General features: G+C 34.5%; 1 protein-coding gene and 1 long non-coding RNA gene across 16 annotated transcripts in view; one reads left to right on the top strand and one right to left on the bottom strand.

The window, feature by feature from the left end:
• SYT1 (synaptotagmin 1) overlaps positions 1–19,211 on the bottom strand; it is a 588,027-nt gene that overhangs the window by 473,941 nt on the left and 94,875 nt on the right. For all 14 annotated transcript variants that reach the window (NM_001135805.2, NM_001415940.1, NM_001415943.1 and 11 more), the window contains one exon: positions 137–269. The gene's annotated coding sequence lies outside the window, so the exon portion shown is untranslated. The remainder of the gene's footprint in view (positions 1–136; positions 270–19,211) is intronic.
• The window catches only part of LOC105369863 (uncharacterized), a 197,856-nt gene that overhangs the window by 124,812 nt on the left and 53,833 nt on the right, over positions 1–19,211 (top strand). For both annotated transcript variants that reach the window (XR_007063385.1, XR_007063384.1), the window contains one exon: positions 1,399–1,475. This is a non-coding gene — a long non-coding RNA (uncharacterized LOC105369863). The remainder of the gene's footprint in view (positions 1–1,398; positions 1,476–19,211) is intronic.

Genomic DNA, 19,211 nt, shown 5'->3' with positions numbered 1-19,211 from the left:
GATACAGTTCTTCAATCTTCAGCACAAATACTACCCTTCCCTCCGCCGGCCCCGCCGCCACATATAAAAAGATATGGATGGATAAAGGAGGTTGATCATCAACAAAATGTGTCAAAAATTTGTTTTTTCCAAATACCTTAATCAGACAGTTCCAGTGCAATTTCCAGGAATGAGGCAGTAGACAAATGAGCAGTCTTCCAATCTGAGTCCAGGCGTTTGTTCAAGCTCTTGCTAGTTCTTGCTAGCTCTTGCTAGTTTTCCCGTTTTCCCTTGAGAGAGAGAGAATAATAGAATCTGTGAAAATGCTAGCCTGCAACTCTGCACACTGACTGGGTATAGACTTCTGCTTATTGACTGGGTATAGACTTCTGCTTATGCAGCCCATTCGTTATTCACATCCTGCTCTAGCTTCCTCAATTCCTGGTTGTGCTGGGTGCTCCAGGCTAAGAACCAATAGGTATGAATCATGCTGACATTTTAAAAAAATCTAGAAGAACAAACATTTCAAAAGAGCAACTTTTTCATATCATTCTGACATCTTCTGTTCAATGGCATTGGTCTATAGAGGAGAAGTAGCCTGTGCTGCCACAGAAGACACCCAGTGGAATTACCAACAGCAGGGAATTATCTAAGCAATTCACACTTTGTTTTGCTAACAAGACTCTATGTTAGGATACTGGAGTGCTATCCTTTTCTGGCAATGTTCTCCTACCTTTTCAGAATTATTGAAAAGCTAACTGAGTCTATTTTGATTTGTGAATCTCTTTGTGAGCAACAGCAGCTGCAGCAGTGCTAATAAAAAGGAAAGACATTGCTATTTACCTAGGAAGAACTTTGAAATACTGCACATACTAAAGCATCTGGGTGGTAGGGAAGCTCTATCAAATACTTCAATATTCCCTTCCTTCCTCACTTTCTTTGCCCTTTCGGGTTCCCTTCCTTCGCCTTTCTTTTACATTTTTTTCTCTTCTTTTTTCCCCATTCTTTCTTTTAAAATTTTTTTCTGTTCTCTTTAATGCACTCCCTATTGCATTCATCTACTTTTTTGATATAAAACTGCAAAAAATTTTGCCCCATATTTCTACTATCTTATATTTGATGGTTGAAAGTAATAATTTTAGAATATAGAAACTCTAAAAAACTGAGTTATAAAGTAGCATAATTCTTTCACAAATATAAAAACGCAGGTAGACAGAATTCACGTTATCAGCTGAATCCTGTAGACCAATTAAGAATTGAGGCTTTGCATAGTAGAGCATACATTAAAATCATATTGTATACCACTAGTTTATAAAATTTGTCATTTGTTAATTGAAATAAATAAATTATAAAAAAAATTTAGGTTTTGTCGATTCCAGTGACTCCAATACAAATCACATCGTTCTACTGTCTTTACAGTTTAGTTTTCAACTCTCCAGAGGAAGCTGACATGGCAACACTCTGTTATTTGAAGATTTGAGTTTTCCTACTACAAGGTAAATGAATACATAATACCATACAGCTTTCATTATATTCTGAATAGAATTTTACATTTCCCCTGCAGTTATTAAACCATTCTCTTCGCCAACCAGTGGATTGGAATGATTCTGGCATAAATCCATATAGAAAAACATGGGAATTTACAGGGTTTGGGAAAACGTAAGTCCTTAGTTTAAAGGAACAGATTCTTCACAAGAGAGTTTTATTCCCTGAATGGCTTCTGAGCAACATTTTGCCTGGCTGATACAGACAAGAAATAGTTGACTCCAGCTCAGGCTGCTTTTAATACTTCTTTACTATCTGTGATTTATTTAATGAATATTAATTGCCTATTTTAAACTTTTTTTTCTTCTTTTTGGCCAGTCCTTGGGGATAAAAAAGAGAAAAGATAGGTTCATGCCTCTAAAGAAGTTAGGGCGACATATATGGAAATAAAATAAAATATTTTTATAAATTGGTAAGTGTCATGGTGTAAATTTGGGATATGCTAGTTAGTGAGGAAAGATTCTTCCAGTCCTCAAAAATAATTCTAATTTCTCACTCTAAAAAACACAGAAAACATCACCAACACTGTTTGTTTGCTGTGTATGTGTGTGTCCTTTAGAATATTGAGCATGAGATGATTAAACAATAATGCCCTGAGCTACTGCTATCTGGGATTATTTAATGGTTTTACCCATTTGTGATTTTTCATAATTGAATTTTTTTCAACAATGATTCCAAGCATAAAGTGGCTTCCCCTCAACTCTCTGAAAGTGTTTTAAACCTTTCTCCCATGGCTACAAGTCCCAGAAAGTATCTTATTCCTCAGAGGGAATGGCCACCAGAATCAGATTCTACATGTTAGAGAAAATACATGAGTTAGTAATACATACCCATTCTAGAAGCCAAATAGCAAAGATTAAAAACCATCTGTCATTGGGATTATGAGCTTACAGGCAAGCACAGCAGACTTCAAGTAGAGTCTGGGGCAAGAGCCTCACAGATTTAAAAACACAGATTAAATAACACAGATTCAACTAGAATCATTTGCTCAGTCCCATGATTTAAAGGATATTACCAGCTCCCACCAGAACCCACTTTGCCAAGTGTTGCATAAAACTACATGTTGTAAACTGAAGACATTTTTTATGAAATTTATTCTTTAATTCTCTCAGGAACAATTTTCTAAATGCCTAGTCTATGCCAGGCAGGGTGCAAAGCAGTGAAAGTACACTGGCCAAGGAGAGAAACAACTGCCTCCACCCCTTCTCTGAACTCGTCCTGCAGAACTTGCAATCTGAGGAGGGGTATTTGATAAATATACAGAGTATAACATAAGTGTTTACATAATTTAAATAGTAGTAAGTTCCCAAAGGATAGGTAAAGACCCTTGAAGAGTGAAAACAGAGGAACCTCATGGAGAACTGGCTTCCATGCAGAAATCACACTTCGGTATTAAAAAGTGACCAGGAGTTAGTCGGGTTTGGGGGTGGGGTGGGATCAGGGAGGTGGGGGTGGGCGCAACGTGGGAACAATATATGTGTGAAGACCCAAGGCAGGAAGGAGCATTAAACGTTTGACAGACTTAAAAAAATAAAAAGTTACTATGGCTTGAATATAGTGAGTTTAGAGAAACACGGAGGATGATGAAGCTGGAGGCGGGCATGGGTGAGTTTGTGCTGAAGGGTCTATGCAAGGAGGATCACGAGAAGCCTCTGGACGATCTAATTTCTTTAGTTGCTCTTTGAAGAATGGATTGAGGTGGAGGCAGGAATGAAGAGGGGTAGGATATGAAATTTATCATGATTAAAAAAATTCTTGTACCTATTCTCAGGAATAACTATTATATTGGTTTAAAAAATAATTTTCAGGGCCGGGGGCGGTGGCTCACGCCTGTAATGCGAGCACTTTGGGAGGCTGAGGCGGGCGGATCACGAGGTCAGGAGATCGAGACCATCCTGGCTAACATGGTGAAACCCCGTCTCTACTAAAAATGCAAAAAATTAGCCGGGCATGGTGGCGGGTGGCTGTAGTCCCAGCTACTTGGGAGGCTGAGGCAGGAGAACGGCGTGAACCCGGGAGGCAGAGCTTGCAGTGAGCTGAGATCGTACCACTGCACTCCAGCCTGGGCGACAGAGCAAGACTCCATCACAAAATAAATAGATAAATAAATAAAAATAAAATAATAATAATAATTTTCGGAAGACCTGATGTTTAGTAGATTGATCTGTTTTCTTAATTTATAAGTAATGCTATATTTTTCTTCATAGCACTTATCATTATCCAATATAGTTATGCACCAAATAATAAAATTTCAGTTAATGATGAATTGCATTTAAGATGATGGTCTCATAAGCTTATAATACCATATTTTTACTGTACTATGTTTCAATACACAAATACTTACCATTGTGTTACAATTGTCTACAGTGTTCATTGAAGTAACATGTTGTACTGGTTTTGAGCTTAGGAGCAATAGGCTATACCATCTAGCCTATGTATATAGTTAGCTTATATCATCTAGGTTTGTGTAAGTACACTCTATGATGTTCACCCAATGACAAAATGCCTAATGATGCATTTCTCACAACATATCCTTGTCACTAAGACATGACTGCATATATATATATATATATATATATATATATATATATATATATATATATATTTTTTTTTTTTTTTTTTTTTTTGGTGTTCGTCTCTTCCTCTTGCTGCTATAGTTGCTTTGAAAATCTACAAGAGTTAATTTTTTTTTCAGTTTGGTTTTTGCTACATGTCTAGGACCTAGAACATCACTTGGCATATAACAGTGGTAGCTCAGTAAATACATCTTGAATGAGTAAACAAACGCATTATTTTGAAAATTGTCTCCAAGATGTTAGGAATTATTTAGTGCTAATATTCTTGTAAAGTTACTTTTATGCAAGGTCAACCTGTGTAGTAAGTTGGAGCACATTAGATTAACAAAATGTGTTCCTGGTTGTTTGTCATTAAAAACATTCTTTAGGTTGATTCCATACATTGGCTACTGTGATTAATACTGCAATATGTAGTGGAATGGCGATACCCCTTTGACATTCTGGTTTCATTTCCTTTGGATATATACCCAGTAATGGGCTTGCTGGATGATATGGTAGTTTTATTTCTAATTTCTTGAGAAGCCTCCATAGAATGGCGGTTATCAGGGCCTGGGGTGTTTAGATGTTGGGCTGGGGAGATGTTGACCAAAAGAAACAAAATTTCAGTTAGAAGGAATAAGTTCAGGAGATCTACTGTACAACATGGTGAGTATAGTTAATAATATGAGGTAGTCATAAAAATACTAAGAGTGGATGTAAAGTGTTCTTACCACAAAAACAGTAATTATTTGAGGTAATGCATATGTTAATTAGCTAGTGTTAGTCATTTCACAATGTACATAGACTTCAAAACATCATGTTGTGCATGTAAATACATATCATTTTTCCTGTGAATTAAAAAATAAATTTAAAAGAAACAGTTGTTAGAGTTGTTGTAGTTTATTAAAAAGGTGTAAATAAAACCCGATTGGGCAAAACAAATTGATGAAAAATAGAAGGTAAAGAGGCTAATGGGAAAGCAAAATACGTTTGTCCTAACTAACATATTTCTCTGAGACTTTAAGTTCGATTATTGTAGAGTAAGATTCAATTATTTTAAGCCCATTGTCTTGATGTTTACATAAAATTCTGAATCCTTTAGTTATTCTCAGTTTAGAGATAAATGCAGATAGCAGACTGTCTGGCACCCTTTATTTGATAGGGAGACTGGTGGGGATATAACTTAAGCCAAACGTATGTATTTTATACTTATCTATATTATATTGTTATGGCATAGAAATAAGTTCATAAAAACTCAAAGGTGAAAAAAAAATCGAATGAGTTAGGAATATTAATAGATTTTTCACAGTGAAGTGTTTCTTAATTTATCAATTATTTTCTCCTAATGAACATATGTGACATAAATTTCACTGGATTAGATATAAATTGGTTTAATACACCAACTTAAATAATTTAGAGAAATGTGCCTCATAAATATATATATATATATTTTTTTTTTGCTGAGAAAAGCTGCCAAGTTATTTGCTTATGGCACCCTTAATTTTAACTTCTGTGTGTTCGTTTTTTCCCATAGCATAATTTTTAAAAGTCTAATTTGAATATTACTTTAATATGGAAAATTAACTTTATCGTAGTCAATGTAGGTTAAAAGATTCAGTGAACCTTGGCAAAGAAAATATAAATGATTAGTTTATGATGCATTACCTTAGGTTTTTGACCTTACGTATAAGCAAATCACAGATGATATATCAGCTAATTACCTGAGACATGAATATTTAAGGAATAATTACACTGAAATATTCTTTGTGGCAAGATATCTTACATGATATTTACATAAGAAGAATCTTAGTTTAAAAGGTCAAAGGCAGCAAATGGGGGAGAAAATAGAAGAGCGAGACTTTCACCTACACCGTTCAATTGTTTGTTCTTAGTTTAAGAAATCATTTACAATTAAATGATTACAAATTGTATTAGAAACAGAATGTAAAACAGACATTAGGATTATGTATTTCTTCATTTAATTACCTATTAATAGGAACTTTAATTCCTAGAAGTCTGCAAACCTCCTGAAATATTTTGTAAAATTATACATGTTTATGCATTTTCACCAGACCCTTAAAAGGGGTCAATGATTCCCTTCCTTGAAAACAGTGTTCAGAAATTGAATTTACTTGCCCAAAGTCTCACAGCGTATTAGTAGTATAGTTGAAGTATCATTCATATCTATTGATTCTCAGTCTAGTCAGTGAAAAGTGCCCTTTTCATTATACATTGCCTCTGCTATAATATATAGTCCAAGTCAAGCCATCATAAGACTTTATTTGCCTCTAGAATCACAAAGTTAAAATAGTATAAAATACGTAGAAATACACGTTTTAGCTTCATTATTAAAAATAAAATTTGTTTGTTTTCTTATCAAAAATGTTAGGAAAAATTGTTTACCATATTATTCAATGTGAAATGAAAGACACAAGAAACTTTATATAATTTTTCTTTGTGAATTGTTCAGAAAAGTGAATTGAAAAGCTTAGCTCTCTTGTCTGATTTAATCCATGGAACAATGCATCTACTCTTTTTTTTATTATTTCTAAAATCTCAACACAGACTATGCTGTGAATTTTAACAACCTGTTTTTGTTCAACTGAATTGCCTTCACTTTCTCTAGTCCTTTGTTAGTGAGGACAGATGAATGTATTTCTTTTATCTTTTGTAAATTTATTTTTCAAATTTTATTTTTAAATTATTCAAAAGAAGTTTGGACATCTTTATAAGATAAATTTGGTTAAGAAAGGAATCTAGTCTAGAGATTTGCTGAAAGTAATTATGATGAGAGAAAATTTTTAACTCACATGATCTATTGAACAGTGACATAGTCTCACTCTGTTGCCCAGGCTGGAGTGCAGTGGTGCAATCTCAACTCACTGCAACCTCCACCACCTGGGTTCAAGCAATTCTCCTGCCTCAGCCTCCTGAGTAGCTAGGATCACAGGCATGCATCATCACACCCTGCTAACTTTTTGTATTTTTTTAAATTTTATTTTATTAGAGATGGAGTTTCACCATGTTGGCCAGGCTGGTCTTGAGCTCTTGACCTCAGGTGATCCACCTACTTAGCTATAATTCTTGATTTCATCATCTAGAAAACAAACAAAAACAATGGGTATAATAGTAAATCTCCAACATTGCTGTTATGAGGATTGGGTAATTAATCCAATTAAAATGTGTAGCTCATAATAAGCCATATTGGGTTTATTTCTCGGTTGAGAATCTTGGGTAATTAAGTTACTCAGTGATGTCTTTGATCTGCAAACCTGATTTATAGTGTATGTGCTAAAGGCTAGTGGTAGCAGATTATTTATCACATCTTTGCTATCCTCTGAAGAAGATAATAGGAATATAACAATTACATACTTTTCTCAAGGTCACACTAACAGGAAGTTGAGCTGAGATTTGAACCCTGGCTATCACGCTTCAAGACCTTGCTCTTAAACATGTCTCTGTCTTATTTTTTTTCTGTGTATTGCTGAAACATAGGTGCACCTAGCTAAACTGACTCATGTTTATAATACTACTGAGTTAGTCCAGGATGTAAAATGAAACTAATATACTGATAACCTTTTAAAATTTAGGCAACTGTCTTTACCCATTCTATTCAAATATAAGATGCCTAAAACTAAAACCAGTTCCCATAACCTTGCTTTCTTTATTTCTCACTTGGTCCTGTGTTCATTTATTCACTTTAAGTAGGGTTTATTGGAGGTTTGCAATGGGCTAGGCCCACAAATACAAATAACAATGTCTTTAGTCATTAATACCACATGAGGTCATCTTTGCTTTTTTCCTTTCTTTCTGTAATCAGGCACAAGTCTATCAATTCTTTCTTCTATGACTCTAGCAGCAACTCACCTTTTTCTCTCAATTTCCATCATTAATACATTGAGTGGACTGACTGAGATCTTTACCACTTTATACTTAGATACTGTAACAAACTCTGGAATAATCTTCTACTTCCCCTTCATCTGAAACACCAGTTTCAGATTAATTTTCCTAATATACTTGAGTACATAATCATTCCCATTATTAGGAAAGAAAGTACTAGTAGAAAGAGCAATAGACATCGAATCCTGGGCCTTTACTTGTAAATTTTATCCTTGAAGACAATCTTGATCATCTGCCAAGGCATTTTCTATAATATATCCAGTGAAAATGCAATACTCAAAATGCAAGACTGATAAAGCACGTCACCTCCCCATTTAAAATCTTCAGTGGCTCACCTTTGCTCTGATGATAACTTACGTTTATAATGCCCTTTATTTCCTGGGTCCTGCTGACTTCTCCTACTTCATCTCACCACACTCCCCTCATTATATCACAGTCAAATCAAACTTCTGGAATAAGTCATGCTACTCCTTCCAATCCAAGCTACTCCTTCCAATCCCAAGTTGACTTATTCCTATCCTGATCCCCTGCCATGGCCCATAATGGCTCTGCTGGCCTTATCTACCATTCTCTGTCCTCCTCAAACTGCTCTTGCCACATTGGTCATTCCTGAAGCCCAACCAAGATATGTTTTTACCCAGGGCTTTGCATTTGCTCTTCCCTCCACCTCCTCTGGATGTTAACCTGGCTTATTCTTTTATTTATTGCGGTCTTTTTCCGAATGTCACCTTTGTAGGGAAGTCTTCCATTGCCATTGTACCTTTATCTTATTCAGTCATTCCTCAGTATCTATTGGGGATTGGTCCCAGGACCTCCTGTAAATACTAAAATCTTTGGCTATTCAAGACCCTGATATAAAATGTTGTAGTATTTGAATATAACCTACGTACATCTTCCAGTATACTTTATCTCTAGATTACTTATAATACCTAATACAATGTAAATGCCATGTAAATAGTTGTTATAGTCTATTGTTCAGGAAATAGAACATGAAAAAGTCTCTACATGTTCAAATTCTAAAAAATATATTTTTGATCTATGATTGGTTGAATCCAAGGATGTTGAACCTGTGGATACAGAAGGGTCACTGCATATATATTTTCTTTATAACACTTATCACTACATGATTATAGAATTTGTTTACTTGTTCATTTGTTTATTTTCTCTCTTTCATACAATGCATGAGGGCAGGCACTTTGTCTTATTCACACACATGATACCAGCATCTTGGATAGTATCTGGCCTATATGAGCACCATATAAATATTTGTTGAGTGAATGGATTTTTCATGCCTGAGCTTAGATATTATGTCTGCTAAAATATTACTGAACCCTACTTTGGCATGGTCCCTCTAAAGTCTGGGTTAATTAGGTATCCTGCTTAATTGTTGAAGTACACTCTGCACTATGCATGCCCCAGATTGGGAAGTGTTCAACAATCATTTGTTGAACTAATGAATACAGTGGAGATCCTTTTAGATCTATTTTCTTCTCAAGATTCAGAGTAAATTAAGAGATATGAGTTACTCCTTTTAAATGTGTTTTAAATTTACAGGGAACACTTGAAATTCACAGATGAACTTTCAATGAAATAGTGTAGAATATACATCCTCTCAAATGCATTTCATCTTGTTCCCTTGGGCATTGCTCATAAAATACTCTGTCTACATATTTCAGAGATTCCAAAGTTTCCTTTTGAGGGTGGTGGGGGCTAGAGGGGTGTATGAATCTTTATGAGAATGTGATGACTCTTCCAATAAAACTACATGTACATTCAATATATTGCCTAGGCTTGCAGGAGATCAAAAACAACCTAATAGACTCCTAATCCGTGATTTTGGGTTAAGAATTCTTGCTACATTTTTCTCTATTTCTGTTCCCTACTGGTTCACAAGTATGTTCAATTTTCTCCATACTGAGTCAAAATATTAATTCCACATTGCATCCTATTTAACCATATACTCCTCTTTCTCCTATTTACAATTAAATTTTCATAGTAAATTTTTATGCATTTACTTCCATATATAGATATGTAATCTTTAGTAATCTAGGTTCCCCATTCCATCCTACTAAAGTCATCACAAAAGTCCTGGTTGTCAAATCCCATACCTCGTTCTCAATTCCGAACTCCTCTACATTGTTAATATTGTTGAGCTTCTTTTCACTCTTTGTTTCAAAATTTTGGTTCCGTGTCAATGCACACACATTTTGTTTTTTCTAGTTTTGTGTTCTACTTCAGTGTATTTTTCTGCTTACTCTTCCTTTATCATATCTGTGTTTAATTTCCCCCAAGTTTTTATCCTCGGCACTTTCCTATTTCTATAATCTTCTATGTACTCCAATTACTGCTATGCTGTATATCTTTGCTGCTGGTCTCTTTACTGTACTGTAGACTCAAATTTCCCACTGATGGCTATCTGCTCATAGATGGCTTGCTGGTATATTAAACCCACAAACCTCAAATGAAATGTCATATGCTTCTCCCACAGTTTTCTTATTTTGTGTTTCCTAGCCCAGTATCTGATAAGAAAACTTGAATTTATCTTTGACTCCTCCTAATTTCCACTCTCACATCTAATTGTCACATACTATTGATTCTTCCAGTGAAATGCCCCTGGTATTCCTTTTCCTTCTATTCTATCAGTCCACTGACTAATTCAGGCTGTTATCATGTTATTGCCTATATATGCTTTAGCTTCATAACTGATGTCTTGCCTTTAATATCCTGCCACTTCAATCCAAGCTTCACATTGCTCTGCCCTCTAGCCTTGCTCTCTCAATACTAGCCGAGCAGTTTATATTGCTATTAAAGGACTTACTTTATCCTTTCAAATACTACAGTTGATTGTATACATGTCAGCTTTTGCCGTCAGATTATTAATTCCTCAAGGGCACAAATGATACCTTAGTCTTTTTCATCTCCTCCATAGTGTCACCTTGCCAACTATGCACTTAATAAATATTTGTTAAATTGAGCATAAGATGTGTGGGTAAAAACAATTCAGAAAATATGTCATCATTGGGGTAGGCTGACTGAGATGTGATGCTCTATTATGGCATAAGGAAATAAAATTATGCTGTTGCCTTCAACAGTTTATGCTCAAATATTATCTAATATTTTATATACCTCTGGTATTTAGTTTTTGAACAACAGATTGTTAAAAACTGTAACATACTGGAAAAGTTAAAGAGAGTTTAGCAGCATATATTGACTTTACATGTAACTCAGAAATCAACAATGATTTCTCTTAAATTTATCTATTTTTGGCAAGAAAATGCTTTTATGAATATTAACTTTTTGGTATGCTTTATATGTATCTGTAGGATACAGAAGGAATAAGTGCTTTCTCCAACATCATATCAAAAGGATGTAGTGGGAAATTAACACACATGCCTGAATTTTTGAATCATGCTCCTGGGTTCAGGCTGAGGCACTGTAAGTAAATAGGTGACACCTCATCAACTTTTTTATTCTGACTTACCTGATATAAGTAATATGGAAGAAATGTTTGCCATACATCTTTTGAAACGCTAAAAATGTGAAGAAGGAAACTACTCTCTATAGTTTGCTAGGCAAAATGGATCAGCAAGATGGTGTAGTAGATTTAAGTCATTAGAATTAGGCAGACTTGGAATTGTCTGTCTAAAGTCAGTGTGTGACTTTAACACACACTGGCCTAGAGAAAATTGTTCAATTTCTTGGGTTTTCACTTCTTTAAAATGATGATAAGGGTACCAATCTTAGAGTTAAGAGGATAAGATGGGATGATATATGACAAATAAACGATTCAAATAATAACAAATAAATACAATAAATAAATAATACAAAAAATAAACAAATAAACAAATAAATGATTACAAATAAATGTAAATGTTTAATGTTCAGCAAATGTTGGTCCCTTCCCACTACCTTGTCAACAAAACAGAAAATAGATATAGTAAAAAAATGTGAACTATGAATTAATAAAAGTCAATTATATTCGTTTATTCAATAATTTTTTTTTTTTTTTTTTGAGACAGAGTCTCATTCTATCACCCAAGCTAGAATGCAGTGGCGTGGTCTCATCTCACTGCAATCTTTGCCGCCCGGGTTCAAGCGATTCTCCTGCCTCAGCCTCCCGAGTAGCTGAGATTACAGGCGCCTGCCACCGTGCCCGGCTAATTTTTGTATTTTTAGTAGAGACGGGGTTTCAACATCTTGGTCAGGCTGGTCTTGAACTCCTGACCTCGTGATCCACCCACCTCAGCCTCCCAAAGTGCTGGGATTACAGGTGTGAGCCACTGCACCAAGCCTATTCCAGAATATTTTTGATGATTTACTAGGCTCCACGCAACATGAGATCTTTGATGAGAGAGTATCACATGATGGTAATGGGGCCTGGAGACCGATCTTGGCTCAAGTGTCAGCTCTGGGACTTATTAACTATGTGATTGTTGGCAAGTGGCTGAGCCCCATTAAGCCTCCTGTTTCTCACCTGTGAAAACTCTCAAAAAGTGGTTTCCCTCAAAGACTAGTTAAAGTGATATTTGATTTACTAGGTTATAATTGTAAAGATTGTAAGTATTAGCACTAGATGTAGATTTGAGGGGAACACATGTATTTGATTTGAACTTAAATATCATATATTTGAAATGCCAATAGGAAAATCAAGCACAAATATTCAGTAGGAAGCTGGAAACAGAGGATTATAGACTATATGCTCCAGGAGAGCAGAGGTTGTGCATCACTTGCTTAGTATTATTGTTCTATGCTCATAGTAGCTGCCTAATCTGTACATATAAAATGGCAACTAGCATTTTCATAAACTGAAAAGGAAAAATGATATCTCTTAAAGGCCTAAAACATCTCACAATATTTAATTCGTATTATTTAAGAAATATATCAGACAACAAATATTGATTTCCAATATGGTGAGGAACTAACAAATAGAGGAAGATTAAAGTGAATATAAAATTTTTGAATCATTTAAATTTACAAATTTTACAAAGCTTAGAAATAAGATTAGGAATAATTTCTCATTGTCAGATTGGGCCTATTTTTATTTAGTGTGCATAAAATGTATCACTTTCCTCAGTGGCATATCAGAATATATTTGCATTAATAATAGTTAATAATAAAATATTATTATTTACATCAGTATTTTATAATTTTATAGAATTCTAAACTGTTCACATTTATTTGACCACAACAACCTTGTTATATATAAAAGTAAAGTGCAGAGGTTGTATCTTTCTTTCTTTTTGCTCTTCTAAGAGGAGAAGAAAAGTTATCAGCATTTGAGGCTCAAATGTTTTTTCTTTCAAAAGAATTATTTTTGTCTCAATTACTCACTCTAAACAACCAAGACTGCTGTGAGAGGAGACTGAGACAGTTGCAGGGGATTAAGGTCATAACACTTACAGGAATTCTTTTACTTTAAGATTTTTAAACTTTAGTATCTTTGTATGACTACAGTTTTATAACACTTTAGAGCACAAATAGTAAAATAGTTTATGCCATATGCAGCATATTCACTATTTCAATTGTGACCATTCAGTGTAGTTTTGATATGTGCAGTAATTCCATTTTCAGTGAGCTAAGTTTTGGGCCTTATCTCAAATCGTCCAAAATTCTAAAGAGAGTATGTATTATCCTCCCCTGCTTAATGCAGTAACCCTAAATTTTAAAAGAAAATAGTAGCACATAAAGGATTTCTTTTCTCTGTTACCCTGCTAAGAATCTTAAACATTCAGATACATGATTATGAAATATAAGAAAGGGAAGCTTTAAGTTGGGTTTTGACATAATTCTAATATAAAACTAACTCAAATAGAGGAAAAACTACTAATGAAAACTTTTCAAATTATACTTTATTCCAGAGCCTCTGAGAAAATACACATTCAATTAATTATTCATTCATCTTTTTTTCATTCATCCTACATATATTTTTGGGACTTACCTTTGTGCCAGCCTTTGTGTTGAGATCTAAATTATGATTAAAAATTAGTTGGGTGGGGCCTGGATGGGAAAGTGTTATAGGAGGATGATTCAGAATGCCAAAGATTCCTCCAAAATGAGTGAGCATGTGCCGGGGACAGCTGAAGCACAGAAAGCAAAGTGAGAGTGGAACAGTAGTCCATTGTATGTATATACTACATTTAAAAAATGTATTCATCTGTCAATGGACATTTAGGTTATTTCCACATCTTGCTATTGTGAATACTGCTGCTATGAATATGGGAGTGCTAATGTCTCTTTGGTATCCTGATTTAATTCTTTTGACCAAATCCCAGGAGTGATATTACTGAATCATATAATAGCACTACTTTTAATTTTCTGAGAAGCCTCCTCTTGCTTTTTTAGCAGCTGAACCCTTTTTCCATTTTCACCAAGAGCATATAAGGGTTTCAATTTCTCCACAACCTTGCCAGCATCTGTTTTTTTGTTTGTTTTGTTTTTGTTTTGTTTGTGGCCATCCTAACAGGTGTGAGGTGATATCTCTGGTGTTGATTTGCATTTTCCTAATGATTTGTGAGGCTGAGCATCTTTTCATATATTTGCTAGCTAACTGTATGTCTTCTTTAAAGAAATGTCTGTTCTGGTATTTAGGCCATTTTTAAATTGGGTTGTCAGTGTGTTTTTTTTGCTATTGATTTGTAGGAGTTCCTACATTAAAAATTTACCCATCATTATCTATGGTTTGCAAACATTTTCTCCCATTCTGTAGGTAGTCTTTTCACGCCATCGTTTCCTTTACTGTGCAGAAACTTTTTAGCTAAATGTAGTCACATTTGCTATTTTTGCTTTTGTTGCCCGTAATTTTATTTTCAGACTCACGAAATCATTGCAAAAACCAATGTCATGATGTTTTTCCCTATGATAAACATATTTTAAGAATACAGATAAATGGATAAGAAAATGTCATATATATATATATGCGATTGAATATTATTCAGTATTCAAGGAGAAGGAATTCCTATAATATACAGCGACATGAATGACACTTGAGGATATTACACTAAGTGAAATAAGACAGTCACAGAAGGTCAAATACTTCATGGTTCTAATTTATGAGACAGGTAAAATAGTCAAACTCATAGAATCAAAAAATGGAATGGTGGTTGCCCGAGACTAGGGGCAAGGGGAACTGGGGAGTTGTTCAATTGGTATGAAGTTTCAGTTTATGAAGATGAATTAATTCTAGAGATATTGTGTTAACTCTTCTTACCACAATAAAATGAAAAAGGAAGTCATTAAAAATTGTTAAGCCGGGTGGGCAATTCTACTTGATCAGACCTGAATTTTTGAAACATCATTTTTGGCTGTGGCATGGTGAGTAGATTTCAGGGAAACAAAGATGTACAAGTTAAGCTACACAATTTTTTCTTTCCAATTCTGATTAATCAAATTCCTTGTACCTATGAGCCACATTATTAAAACATAATTTAAATGACAGCTCAGATTTAGAATATCCTATAGAGATTACGAATGAGAATACACACAGGCCAACCTCTCTCTCTCCCCCACCACACAAGATGGAAATGCACACACCTCACATATATATACTTATTCAATTGGTCCAATCTCTTTACAAATTTACCCACTTGGTTGATGTAATTAGGTCATAAACATTGAGATAGTTTTCTAGTACTGATGTCCAATATTTATTGATCATTAGGCTATAAAGGATAAGTTTGCACAAGAGAAAAGCAAAGGTACGTGACCCACGAAGTGATGCTATTATTAATTATAAGACTCAAAAAAAAAAAAAAAAAAAGAAAGAATGCTATTGAATGATTACTGCGTACCAAGCAGTGGTCAAAATACTTTACCTCGTATTAAGTTATTTAACGTTTGTAACAATCATATTAGATAGTTCATATGTATGTTTGCTCCATTATATACCCAGCCTCATTGAGATAATTCCTTAAGTTAGCTGAGTGACCCAAACTTGTGTGTAGACTCTCTATGTCAGCACAGTCCAAAACACTGAAGTAAGCAAACCTAAACTCAAACCAAACCAAGCCAAACAAAGCAAAACAACAACAAAAGAAAACAAAAACGAGAAGAAACCTATAAAACAACAAACAACATAATCCGATACATTCGTCTCAATACAATTTAGTTACATAGAATTATGTGACATTAAAAAATTGTAAGAATATTATAATATTACCTTTTATCTTTGATTGGTTCTTAGTAACTTATGAGTCAAAAAGTTGTCACTGTGAAGTTGCTAAAGTATAATATCAGCTACTTAGTAAATGATTATGTCCATTTGCCAAAATATGACATATCAAGCAGAAAAGAAAAGGATACCATGTTCAACAATTATTCCAGTTCAATTATACAGCTTATATCTTCTGGAAGGATGGTCATTTTATCTGTACTAAGAGCCCTTCTGCCTAAATAGTTTCAAGTTGTCATTAGTAATGCCTAAGAATTGCTCATTGTTAAGCAATGTATTCTATAACTACCTTCTCATGTTTATATGCCATACTGCTTGCGACCCAGGGAAATATCAACCTACTATAGGAGACATAGTTACAAAGATAAAATCTTCTCCTTCTACAAAGACAAAAAGGTATGATCAATTTTCATGAAGACATGAAAGCAGCCAATTGGTTCAATAGGAACGTGGTCACAGAAATCTTGCATCATTAGAATTTAAGAGGGTAAGAACTATTTAAAGTGTGGAATGTGCTGGGAGCAGTGGCTGGTACCTGTAGTCCCAGCAGTTTAGGAGGCTGAGGTGGGAGGATCACTTGGGGCCAGGAGTTCAAGACCAGCTTGGGCAACACAATAAGATTATGTCGCCACAAAATACAAATTCAAAAAATTAGCCAGTGGGTAGGTGGGGCATACCTGTAGTACCAGCTACTCTGGAGGCTGAGGTAGGAAGTGATCCCAGGAGTTGGAGGCTGCAGTGAACTGTGATCACACTACTGCACTCCAGGCTGCATGACAAAGTGAGAAACTTTTTCTAAAAAAAAAATTTCTTAAAAAAAATAAAGCTTGAAGTAGCAAACTTAAGGAAACAGCAACAAAAAAATACTCAATGGGCATTTTGAGTACAGAAATAAACTACTTCAGAAAGGTAGAATGAATATATACGTGTTTTTGAAGAAAACTTTAGAAAATTAATGGATGACAGAGCCATATTGGGCTATATAAAACAATTCTGATAGTTTTATATTGCTTTCCACCTCTACCGTATGCTCCAAAGTGCTAACATGTGAACACAGACCACTGGGCTAATAGACATTCTTGCAATTCAAGTATAAACTAATATTTTTAGTTCTACAGGAAAAAAACATGGTAGGTCCTTCTTTAAAACTTTTAGCTAGGTTAAGTTTTTTTCACTTGAAAATTTTCAAAAGTGTTCCATATTCCAGGTGACATCTCCCAGAAGCCATCTCTAACCCTATTGATGTAAGTGAGAATCCTTCCTGGGTACCTGCGGATCCTGCAGCCCCCTTCATAACATGACACTGATGGTGCCGCTCTGAACTTGGTCCTCTTCAAGAGCCTGGGATGTCCCAGAGCAGGAAGCACGCGAGAACATTTGTTTGTTACATTTAGCTCACCAAATGGTTTCATTCATGCTAAAGGAACTCAGTTTTGTTGTTGGTGTTGCTGTTGTTGTTGTTTGGCATTTCTTTAAGATAAGGGAAACTTAGGGATAAAGATTGAGTCAGAAAAGTGTTTCTATTTTCCAAATTATAAACATATTTACTTATTCACTCAAGAAATGAGCACTGATTTTGCAGGTCACTATATTGCCAGATTGCTGTATATATTTAAATTGTGGCAGAAAAATATGACCAAAAAATTCCTGAAATTCAAGTTATTACTTGAAATGCATATTTAGAGAAAATCTGAAAAGGCCAATGTTTAGAAAGAAATCTACCTAAAAGAATGGGTTCAAATGGGGTTAAAACAAAAGCCAGCATAACTCCCAGAAAAACATATGAGTGGTAAAGTTGCCATTTTTATTAAATTTCTTCACTAATGTATTGACTATTAGACGGTAAAATTTTAAAAAACCAAGAATTTAAAAATATATAAATTTTGGAACTTTGAATTTATATTACATTTTAAAACAGTTCTGGAATGCAGTTTTTCCTAACTTTGGCTTTGTATCAATTTCAAAATCACCAGTAGTGTTTATTTGTTTACTGATACCTGCAGTTCAAACTCTATAACCACAATTCTTCAGAAACAAAATTGCTTCATATGGCCCTTCTGATCATGGCATAACATTGAAATGCACTTACAGCTCCAAAGACATAAAAACATTTCCCCTGTTATCTCACTTTTCCACCGAGTTCCTCCCTGGCTTACATAGCTGGCATTGCAACTGCGTTTTTATTAATTTCAGACACAGAAGAACTCAGCAGCCTTCTCTGATGGGCACATATTCTTAAGAAGCCCTGACAGCTGTTGTTTGTAATAAGAGGCTAGAACCTCTATGTTTGACTTATTCTTCCTTTTTAGGTGTCTCTTGCTAGAATTGTCCAACAGAATAATGGATATCTATGGCGAAGTTCCCCCTCATTTACATTTTAAGGTAGCAGTGCCAATTCATAAACAATGTTTTTGTGATATCAGATGTGTACAAAAAAATTAAAGAACAAATTTGAAGCAAAATAAAATCAGTATTTTTATGTAAGGTAGCTTTTAAATTACAAATTTTAAAATAAGATTATCTCAGTAACTCTAAACAAACATCTTAAGCTATTATATTTGCAGTTACCTATAATTTTATTCTAAATATATTTATGAACATACATATTTAGTTAAAAAAATCTTTCTTCTAGCTGATTCAACACTTTGGAACATCTCCCGAGTTTCCCTCAATACAGCATGCATATATAAATTACGTATATACATGCTGTATTTTTTTAAGGTTTTAGTCTTTTATTTCATAACAATAACTGTGAGGTAAGCAGGTAGCTACATTTGCGCATTCCAGCTTAGGTAGCTTCTCAAATTTCCAGAAGTTATCTAGGTATTCAAGTTAAACTCAGCTGAATGCAAATGGGCTTCCCTTATGCTGCAGTTTTATAGCTTTTTATCAGTTTGTAGATATTGACAGCTTTCTATCAGTTTGCAAAGTAACTAAATGGATTGACTGAATAATTTGCTGAAAAATGAAAGAATGAAGTTTGAGTTAGCATATTATAAGAATATTTATGTAGGAAATCTTTTCACATATCAAAAAAAAAGTAGACTTGTAAGCCCTCTAAATAT

The sequence above is a fragment of the Homo sapiens genome, chromosome 12, assembly GCF_000001405.40.
Source record: "Homo sapiens chromosome 12, GRCh38.p14 Primary Assembly".
NCBI lineage: Eukaryota > Metazoa > Chordata > Mammalia > Primates > Hominidae > Homo > Homo sapiens.
This window is presented reverse-complemented; position numbering and strand designations above follow the sequence as displayed.